Source organism: Homo sapiens, chromosome 12 (assembly GCF_000001405.40).
Source record: "Homo sapiens chromosome 12, GRCh38.p14 Primary Assembly".
NCBI lineage: Eukaryota > Metazoa > Chordata > Mammalia > Primates > Hominidae > Homo > Homo sapiens.
The window spans coordinates 38911784-38923654 of record NC_000012.12 but is presented as its reverse complement, the minus strand read 5'-3'; the positions used below and the strand labels follow the sequence as shown (position 1 = coordinate 38923654).

At 35.4% G+C, this 11871-nt stretch overlaps 1 annotated feature.

Annotated features, from left to right (window-relative positions):
• Positions 2381-2470: a silencer, noted in NCBI's record as "silent region_4346". NCBI's record gives its function as "represses an Ori minimal core promoter by ATAC-STARR-seq in GM12878 lymphoblastoid cells {active_cell/tissue: GM12878}" and the evidence as "EXISTENCE:reporter gene assay evidence [ECO:0000049][PMID:35858748]".

The following is an 11871-nucleotide window of genomic DNA, read 5'->3' as shown; positions in this document are numbered from 1 at the left end:
TGATAATTATCTCTCTGATAATTACTCTCTTTTCTTCCCTTTCACATTATTTAATGTTAGTTCATACTTTAAAGATTATCAATACAGAATTATGTTGGAATAAAAAAGGAATAGCCATTCCCCAGAGATCTTGAAACTGAATGTGGTAACTGGTAAGTCTTTGTGGAAGAAATGAGTGTATATTTGATGTGCAAGGCATAGTTATAATGTGCCACATGTGATCACACAGGTAGTTTTATACATCCAAATGTATATTAGGAAGTGTTAATAGGAAAAGAACTAGATATTTTTTGTATGCCAAGTGCTATAATTCTTTTCTACATTGGATTATTCTTACTTTGTAAATTTTGGTGGGAGACACACCCCATTTCTCAATATAAATGCTAATAAATTCTTTATTTTCAATTTTCCAGCTTTCCTTGAATCTGAGGAATAGACACCTGCTCTTACCCGAATGTCCCAAGATAAATAGACTAGAGTAGTTTGTCTTCGCTAGTGATGGCAGTGATGTAATTGGTGTAGGCAGTGGTGGCAATGGTGAAGAAATGACAGTTGAGGTGGTGAAAATGATGACAACGCGTAGCAAAAATGGCAGTCTGGTCTGTGGTGCTACATGGGAGTCAATTTTCCAAGTACAATAATGGAAGTGTTCTAGGGTCAGTATTGAGTAGTTTCTCTGGTAATAGCAACAATGTAAGGGCAACATCTAATATTCATTGGTGTACTCATTAGACCAGTCCTGAGGTGTGATTTTGAGGCATTTTGACTTCACTGTCTCAACTTCATTGACTCTGAGACTGGTTCTCTTGAACTCCCAATGATTCTGGGAGCAACCCAATATGTAATTAATTTAATCAATTTTCTGCTTAAATAAACCAGAATCAGCTTTGGTTGCTTGCAATTAATTAACTTGACTAAGACCTGTTGATTTAAAGCCTTCCTCTGAGAGAAGGGAGAGGGTCAGGGAGAGTTTTGTCAATTTTCTTGACAACAAAGATTTCTTCATTCTTCTCTGATTACATTCTTCCTTTGGATATGAGCCTTGCAATTTCCTCCCCATATCTAGATTAAACCACAAAAAACCTTTCTCCAATAACATGTGTGTGTGTATGTATGTATATATAAATGTATATATATACACATATATATGTGTATATATAGAGAGATATATATAATATTATATTTTATAAAAATGTAAAAGACTAATCTAGTATTTGGGGAAGTTATACATATATATATATATATATATATATATATGTGTATCTCTATATATATACATATATGTATATATATGTATAACTTCCCCAAATACTAGATTAGTCTTTTCTTACCTTCAATAGAAGTTTTCTTATATGCTATCTTCTGGGATTTCATGTTGGGCGGGGGTGGGGAGGGGATTCTCTCATTGAAAAAAAAAAATCTCAAGTGGTTTATAAAATCTTATTTTTAATCAAGTTTTTGACTCAGTGTGAGAGAGAAAAAAGCAAAAAGACTACTTAAATAAAACTGGAAAAGACCTTTAACTAAATGCTGTGTACCTGGAAATTTTGAGATGACTAAGTTTAATACAAGTTAAAAGAATTAAACTACTGTATATTTGTTACAAAAAGGATCAAAGAGAATTACCCATTTGGAAAATGATAAATACTTCATGCTTCTTGAAATTAACTTGATTATAACATACATTCATTTAAAAGAAAAAAATAACATTTTAGAGGGGCACTACACACGTGCAAGAGAAAAGAATAGAAAATTTCCAAATTCTGTATGTTTCTTTATATTATAATTTATAGTAATTTAAAGAAATATGTCTACCACTGTCTTTTTTTGTGTTTTTAACTTATTTTTTGTTCTGAAAAATTTAATAATAAAAACTACACCTCTTATCAGAAAAAACTCTCCCACGAACAACATTTTGCACATAATTTTGCGGGATTCATGGGACCTTTGAAGCCCCTTTATTAATCCTTTTTTAGGATCCTTGGTTATCATGTTAAACATCTCTAATCTCCAAAGGAAATCCAATAAATTTTTCAGCCAATTACGATTAAATTTATATTATTATAGTATTGATTTAATTTTTTATTTAAGAATATAAGCTTAACTTATTATAAATAATAATCTTATTCCATTGAGTATCTTAGGAATAGAGTTTGATGAAGCATAATACATTAAAGAATAAATGCCATTAATTCTTTTTAAAACAGGATCCTTCTTCTATTTGATTGAAGTAGTACTCTAAGCAGAAGAAAGGGCAAAGAAATCTTTAGTTAAAACAAAAGTAATACAAAAATTTGAATCTGAGCAGTCACAGCTGTTCACAACAGCTTATTGTAAGAAAGTCAGTTACTGGTTATTTGTACTCCCTAGCAGGTAGGCATGTGCCACCTGCTGGTCAGATAGTTTGAGCTGCGAATATTCTCAGTATGTTACATGCATGAGTCAGGAGCCTGGAGTGTGGATATATTTTTACAAAGCAAAACCTGTTGAGAGTCTATCTATCTATCTATCTATCTATCTATCTATCTACCTATCTATCATCTATCTATCCATCTTCTATCTGTCTTCTATCTACTCTTCCAAAAGGAGGTATTTCTATTGTAGCATAACTCTAAATGCCCATAGATTTAATTTATGAAGCTATGATGTTAGTTACATATTGAACTGAAATCTACTCACTGCACAAACATAAACGTTTGCTTTGATGCTGTTGTTTTCCCTATTTATTGAATCTCCCTTTTCACCAAAGCAGATATATTATTAGAGAATTTTCAATGAAATTATAAAAACAATCCTTGGCGAGGACTTACCTATTTATCTATCTTTCACAGTCTGAGATGGAGATAAACACTAAGTGGCCTGTCAAGACCTCTTATGCTGATGTTTGAAGATGTACGGATAATTACTGGAACTAAACATGTATAAGATAATAAAAGAAGTCTTCATACACTCAAAACTGTTATTATATAATCCATTTTATCAGATAACATTGTAATTGGATTATTAATCAATAATAAAAAGATGATAAGATACTCTTTTGAGAAAAAAGATATACTCCATACAATCAATTGGTTAAAATGAAATTTGTAAAATATTATAAAGCAGCAGTCAAAGTACAGTCAGTCCTCTGTACCTGTGAGTTTCACATCCATGGATTCAACCAATCACAGATCAAGAATATTTTTAAAAGCATTTCATTTATGTACAGACTTTTTCCTTGTCATTATTCCCTAAAAAACACAGCATAGTAACCATTTACATAACATTTACACTGTATTATTATACTAATATAAATAATCTAGAGATGCTTTAAAATATATGGGAGGATGTGCAGAGATTATATGCAAATACCATGCATATTATATCAGAGACTTGAGCATGTTGGTGTCCATATGGGTCCTGGAACCAAGCTCCCATGGATACTGAGAGGCAACTGTACTCTATATCAAAACTTGTGGAATGCAGCTAAAGCAGTACTATAGGGAAATTCATGGCTTTAAGTTCTTGTATTATAATATGAAAAAGATTGTGAAAAACTAAGCATTAAACTTAGCAAGTTGGAAAAAATGAAAACAGAGTAAAGACAAAAGACACATAAGAAAAGAGCAAAATGAAAAGAACAGAAATTAATAAAATAGTAAATAGATAAAATGATACACAATTACAGGCTGTGTCAGCAGAGCTAAATGATTGTGAGCAATTGTAAATGGTATGGACATACAGAGGAGGAACAGATTGGCTATGAGGGAATGGAAGATAAGTGCTATAGTTTGAAGAATTCAACCTTTGGAGTTATTTGATTAGAGCCATTTGCCACTTGCTATAGATATGTGACCTTTAAGTCATGGAGCTTCCCTAAGTCTAAATTTTCTTGTTTGGGATGGGAATAAATAATACCTATTTTAAATAATACTTACTTCACAAGGTTTTGATGAGAAGTAGTTATTGACTTTATTTAATATACGTCAGCTTTGGCTCTCACTGTCTCACGAGTGATCTGATACAGAGAGTTTCATTCAAGTTTCTGAAATGCTTAATGTATACATTTTTACATGTCATTCATAGCCTATAATATATATGTAAAAGGAAACAAAACATCTTTATTATTAGAATTCTAGATTTTAAAAACTCTCTGGATTGAAAAATCATACTGCTTCCCAGTTAACTCTGCCAATTTTCCTCCACATTAAAAAAAACCCTCCCATTTTTAATCCATTCAATACATATTCACCATGAGTCACTGTGTGCCAGGCCCTGGCCTCAGCAGTCACGTGTCTTGGCTCACTCTCAGCTGACGGATGGCCATGGTCTCTTGGAAGCCGACTTAATTATTTTTTGTGGGTCATTTTGTTTTGGGTGAAAACATGTTTTGTGTTTACAATTGTGGAGGGCCGGGTAAACATCGGTTGCAACCAGAAACAAAAAAAAGAGCTTATTTGAAGTTTTTAATGTTGTTTAATTTTTTCCCCAATGGTTTGACTATGTGTATTGGACTACATACAACTTTTTGCTTCCTTAACCAAATCTATTTATGTGGACCTGTTATACTGTTGTTAAACCACCATTTGGAACTTTATCGTTCACTTGCAAATGCTGCAGTCATGGAGCTACCATTTGTGTGAAAAAAAAGCAGGTTTATGAAAAAAGATTTGTACTGAAGATGTATTTAGCATTCTATACATTGAAGTTACATAATATCCTACTATTTTTGGCTACAGTCATTATAAAAACAAAGTGGCAGGAAAAAGTCTCTTGTAAAGAATAAGAATATTGCATCCTTCCAACCTGTGATTCTTTGAATGTTATAGTACATTATCAAGAAAGAAAAGATACCTTTTTTTTTTTTTTTTAAAGACAGAGTCTCACTCCATCACCCAGGCTAGAGTGCACTGGAATGATTTTGGCTCACTGCAACCTAGAGGCATGTGCCACCATGCCAAGGTAATTGTTGTATTTTTAATAGAGATGGTGTTTCACCACGTTGGCCAGGCTGGTCTCAAACTCCTGACCTCAAGTGATTGCCCTCCTCAGCCTTGTAAAGTGCTGGGATTACAGGCGTGAGGCACCGCACCCAGCCACCAAATTTTTAAAAATTTTAAAATCCAATGTAGTTGTCAATCTTGGCAATCAGAACAATTAACTGCCCAGCTAATACAATGAGTCACGCTAGAAATGCTTCTTAAAACAAGCATAACAACCACCACCACGACCACCATCATCAAAACCTAAGATTTAGTGGAAAATGGTTTTAGTGGCCTCTTAAAGGTAAGCCATTCTAAAATATACATGGAATTAATGAATAGACCTTTTAAATATTAATTTTTCTTTTTTATGTTTGTCGACATTCTTTGACATGTTGATTCATGCTGGGATAAGCATGAGTTTTCTTGTACTGATTTTAAAAGCTCCTAATAGAGATACATTGAGATCCTGTGAACACCAGACGGAATGCATAGAAATCAGTCTTTTTTTCTCTGCCATATGGAGAGCTACTGTACCAAAAATGTAGTATCCCAGAGGCCACTACAAATCTGTGGCATAGTGTGATATTTCATAGTTTATGAAAAGAAAACAGAAGGAGGCAGAAAGAAAGGAATGGTGGGAAGGAAAGTGAGAGAAAACACATCTGCAAGTAAGATGCTTTTAGGGTCTGTTTGTGGCCAGTGGGATGGAAAGGATCACTGCTGGAGTAGAAAACAAGCAATAGTTAGTACAACTGAATTGCTTGAATATTTTCCCAGAGATCTAATAAATATTTATTAAATATTTAAAGAATTAAGAGTTTTAGCTAACTGTATGTATCATAACGAAGATTTGAGAATAAAAGCTGTCGTCCCTTAATTGAGTGACAGGGTCACATAATAATCATTTTATCCGACCAGGCATGGTGGCTCCTGCCTGTAATACCAGCACTTTGGGAGGCTGAGGTGGGCGGATCATCTGAGGTCAGGAGTTGGAGACCAGCCTGGCCAGAATAGTGAAACCCCATCTCTACTAAAAATAAATATTCTTTATTATGCCTGCCTCATATTCAACTGTGAAACATGCTTTATTTATCAAATTCCTTACTGATGAACACTTAATTTGTGTCCAGTCTTTGATATTGTTAACTGGTATAATAGGTAACCTTAGGCAAATATAATTTCACACATTTGCAAACATTTCTGTACAATGGATTCCTCAATTGGAAATGCCAGGTTAAATGGTGTGTGCATTTTTTTTAAAAGCCTTATTGAGGTATTATTGACATACAATAAACTATATGTAATTAAATTGTTCATTTTGATACATTTTGACATATGTATTCAACCATGAAAGCACCACCACAATCAAGGTTATCATTATAGCCATCACTCTCCACTGTTTTGCTTTTTCAGTATTACAAATAAAGCTGCTATGCACATCCATGTATATATCTTTGTATGAATATATGTTTACTTGGGCAAATACCTAGTGGTGGAATGGCTACATCATACGATCATATGATGAGTGTATGTTAAACTCATACATCATATGACCAGTGTATGTTTAACTTTTAAGAAACGTCCAGACTTCCGAACTGTTTTCCAAAGCGGCTGTATCATTTTACATTTCCACCAGCAGTATATAAAAGTTCCAGTTACTCCATATCCTCACCAATACTTGGTATAGCCAATTGTTTTTATTTTAGCCATCCTAATATGTGTGCTCTAGTATCTCACTGTGATTTTAATTTGCACTTTTATAACAATTAATGATGTTGAGCATTTTTTGAAGTATTTATTTGCTGTCTGTATATCTTCTTTGGTGAAGTGTGTGTTCAAACATTTTTTCAGTTTTTCAAATTGTGTTGTTAGGTTTGTTATTAAGTTTTGAGTTCTTTATATATTCTAGTCATTGATCAGATATATGTTTTGCAACATATTTCCTCTCCTATGTGATTTGTCTTTATTCTCTTAAGAATGTCTTTCAAATAATAAACATTTTTAATTTTGATGAAGTCCAGTATATCAGTTTGTTCTTTTCTGTATCAGGCTTTTCTGCCTCAACCTCCCAAGTAGCGAGACTTACAGGCTCCCACTACCGTGCTCAGCTAATTTTTGTATTTTTAGTAGAGATGGTGTTTCATCATGTTGGCCAGGCTGGTCTCGAACTCCTGACCTCAAGTGATCTACCTGCCTCGGCCTCCCAAAGTGCTGGGATTACAGGTGTGAGCCTTTGCACCCAGCCAAACTTTACAACATTCTAAGGGACTCACTTGTGAAATAACAATTTAATTATTTGAACTTTCAATAAAGAATATTGCATCTGTTATCACAAAATTATGGTAAATTTAACAGCAATTAACTTTACTATGAAAAACTGTTTTGTGAATTACAAGTTTTGCCTGAATCTCTTGGACAGTTAGAGAAAGGTCCTGTAGTATTTTAACATTTTCTAATTAAAATAATTATTTTCAAATATACCAAAAAGCCTAGGTTAGCTCATAAGAATGTCAATTATAACAAGTTACTAAACACCCAAGATTTATATTCTTTTTTTCCTCTCTGTCTCTATTTCCCTAGTTTCCAGCAAAATTTTTACTTTTTTGCATGGTTGCACATTCTAATTATCCACGCAGGAAAGAAACCAGAGCAGACTCTGACCACATACTAATTAATGCTTATCTGCCCTGCTCTAGCAGCGATCTAAATCAGGTTTGGAAATGAGGCATTAGTTCCTCATACATCTGGCTATAGTAGGCCAGAGGGGATTGTTCCTATATGAGGTCCTCAGCCATGCAGTTGCTTACTTAAGAGCTATTTTCTGGATTAATAGCATGTGAAGCAGGGTGGGCTTTATTCTCAAGACAGCACAGCAGGAGCTACAGTTGGGCTTCTAGGACATTTTGGTAGAAGAATCTGAAAGACAGTCCTTGGATGATTACAGAAAATCTTTAGAGGATTCTGTAACATTGGTAACTGCCCAAGAAAAAGAGTGAGGCAACCCACAGGGACAACAAAAACAAGGCAGAAATGTGGCCTTTGCAGCTTCTACCACAATGATCCCATTGACATCTTTCCCCTTAATAGCTTCTTCTTTTTATTTAGTGTCTTGATGCTGTTTTTTGTTTGTTTTTCTTTTCCTGTTTGTCCACGTGCTTCTTCCCAACTTGTTTCCTTGGTAGGACCTTTCTTTGTCCTTCTCTCCCAAGGCCAGATATGCATTATTTTTCTTCTTTTCCTTTCTTTCCTGGAGTACTCACCAAAATGCTTGGCATCAACTGCTAATTCTAAGCTATTGATTCCAATATCAACAATCTTGTCCTCTCACCAGTCCCAAATGCCTGTTGGACAGTCCATCCAAGTGCTCAGCTGTTGCTGAACTAAACATATCAAAGTGAATTTAGATACTTTTAACAGTCCTTGGCCACATAGCACCTCACTCACATCGGTGTACACTGAGTGCAAGGGACAATCAATGAGTGAGACAGATGGACCCCTATGCCCTTGAGGCTCAATGACTAGCAGGAGAAATAGGTATTAAGCAAATTGTCAAACAATGCTTATTCTAACTATGATAGTTAAAAGTTATTGCTTATTTTGGGCATTTAGGAAGGTGTCTGTAGACGCAAAATATTTTCGACTTCATACTCCTTTTATAAGAATGTATTTTTTCTTGTATTCTTTTGAAAAGTTTCAGAATTCTTTATGCCTGCCCTTTCTGATTCATTCTTGCAAATGGATTTCTTTCAGCAGTCTTGAAAAATCAAACTCTCTGAATTAGCAAATTTAGTGAAAAGCTACTTAGAAGACATTTTTGATAAATTTAGAGGTTGAAAATATTTATAAAAAATAAGTCTTGTTCTGTACTTAATAATCATGAAAAAATATCCCTGTAAAATTCTTATGGACAGGCCCCTTTCAAAGACATCTGGATTTCAAGGAGTAAAGGCTTTATTCTAGGAAGTCTCTCAATGTTAGCTGGGTATCATTGAGTAATTATATTCAAATAAATGTCTACAACTCTAGAAGAAACATACTGCTATTTTCTTTATTAGATAAAGGAATCCTCAGATTTCATATATGTCTCTTCTCTATGCATTAAGTTGTCCTGCTAGATTCATTGTTTAAAAAGCAATGCAAATGAGAGTATTTATTGAACACTTCCATGAGGAAATGACATTTTAGGTAGGCCATGAGGACTGAATAGGAGTTGGCCAAGTAAGACAGAATTAAAAAGAAGTACAGTTTAAAAGCTTTGAGAAGGAGAGGGGCAAAGTAAGTTAGAATAGTTCAAGGAAGGCTGTGTGGCTGAACTGTAGTGAATGTAGATGCCTCTTAGTCATATAAGCTACATAAGTAATTTTAAATTATTACTTGGGAGATAGGTGACACTTGGAATGCTCCTCTGGGAAGCTTACGTAAGAAAATAGAGCCAGAGGGTTTAAACCATCACCACCAAATTATGGTCATCACTATAATCAGCATCACTACTCTCATTTTAAGTGTTAAGTGCTAAATGAATTACATACATTTTCTCTAATTTTCACTAACTGTATATCACACATAATGGTATCATTTAACAGGTAAGAATACTGAGACTCAGAAGTACCTGAAAAGACTTTGTTGAGGTAGTGACATCTGATTTGGAGCCAAATATGTAAGTGTTAGCGAAAGAGGAAGGCAGAGAGGAGTATTACAGACAAGGAGAGTGGTATGAACAATTTAGGAAGGATTTTGTCAAGATCAGATTAATGTTTTATAAAGTGCATTCTAGCCATGGAATGAAGAGAAGATTGGAGGAGGGGACTGGAAACAGGGAGACAAGGTAGGAGAGTGCTGCATTCACCGGGGTGAAAGATGACCATAGACTAAACTAATGTCTACCATTAATGGAGTGGATGAGAGAATGTGAAAGTTGAGGAGATTTAAGAAATATTTAGGAAGTAGAATAGGTTGTCAGCACAATCCAATAGAACTTTAGAGAGTAGGCTGGGAGTGGTGGCTCACGCCTGTAATCCCAGCACTTTGTGAGGCCGAGGTGGGCGGGTCACCTGAGAACACGAGTTTGAGACCAGCCTGGCCAACATGGTGTAGCCCCATCTCAACTAAAATACAAAAATTAGCCGAGCATGGTGGCATGCACCTGTAATCCTAGGTACTCAGGAGGCTGAGGCAGGAGAATTGCTTGAGCCTGGGAGGTGGAGGTTGCAGTGAGGTGAGATCATGCCACTGCACTCCAGCCTGGGTGACAGAGTGAGACTCCATCTCCCAAAAAAAAAAAAAAAAAAAAAGAACTTCAGAGAGTAAAGGAAATTGTCTATCAATAGGGTAGCCCATAGCCAAGTGTGGATATTGAGCACTTGAAATGTATTAGGTTGGTGCACAAGTAATTGCAGTTTTTGCCATTACTTTTAATTGCAAAAACTGCAATTATTTTTGCACCCACCTAATTGTGCAACTGAAGAACTGCATTTTAAATTTTATTAAATAGCAATTAATTTAAATAGCCACTTGTGACTCATGGCTACTCTACTACAGTTCAGAATTGTATAATTTTAGATTGCTGAAAGTTTTACATATCCTCACTTTAATTACAAGATCTTTTAAGATAACTTTGTGCTGTCTATCCAAATTTGCACACTTCTTTGGTGAGTTTGGTTGTCTTTCTACTGTGCAAACATATGTAGTACTTAATTTTACTTCTATATTTACTTATATTGTAACCCTTTTCTATATTGGTCAGTTGTCTTTTTTTACCTGTTGGAAAGTGTCAAGTCCCATTTTTCCAGGAAAGTTTTAATAGCTTGTCTTTCTCATTAATATGCCTTCCCTTGAGCATCAATTACATTAGTCTATATCACATTATCTCATGACAAATCATTGCTTACCTCTTGCTCTTTCATATTCTTTATTGGTGCAATGAATTGAAGCTGGGTCTCACACTAAACTCTAAGATGCTTGGAAGGAGGGAAGATATCCTTCATGTCTTCTATATTTCTTCCTCCACCCCCACTGTTCAGCCTATAGTTGGCATAACAGCAATTCTTAAAGACAAATACTTGCTCACTACTCTGAGCCTACTCATTACAATGTATGCTACGAGATTTCTGGTTCCTTAAGTGTATTTGTTCTTTTCAATTAGAAAAAGTCTAAACTAGTGAAAAAAAAATATGAATGTCTTTTTTTTTTTTAAAGTGGGGGATACATGCTATTTTAGCCTCTATTGACTATTTTAAGTAGGTAGTCCCCAAGGATGCCTGCCATCAATTCCTTCCCTCATAATACGTGCATGCTGCTCTACCCTGTAAGTCAAGTCAGCCACCCCGCTCCCTCCAACTCCTTACAGTGGCCTTGAGACTTGCTTTGACAATTAGAAATCAGTGACACTGTGCCAATTCTGGGCCGAGGCTTTCGGAGACCTGGCAGCTTCCACTTTGGCTCTGGGAAAGCCAGCCACTGTGTTGTGGAGAAGCTCAGGAGAGACTCGAGAAGGAGGAGAAACCACAGAGCAGCTACTTGGGGGAAAGGCACTGAGCTGCCAGACATGGGAATGAAGCCTTGTTGGATTTTCCAGTCTGGCCAGCCTCTAGCTGAATGCAGCCATATGTATGACCCAAACTGATGCTACATGGAGCAGAACTGCCTGGCCAAGCCGTGCCCTAATTTCTGACCCAAAGAATCATGAAAAAGAGTAAAATCATGTTGTTTTGCATGACTAAATGCTGGAGGGCTAGTTATGCAACAATAGATAGCTGAAGTATTATCATTAAAAATAATAGAAGATTCAGTTATAGTAAAATAACTAACCTCCGTTTGGTCACCTTCCTGATCTACACTCTCTCTTAACTCTTGCAAGTTTATGGCCTCCCTTTACTGAATAGCCAGTGGGTGGAGCCAGTTGACTCTG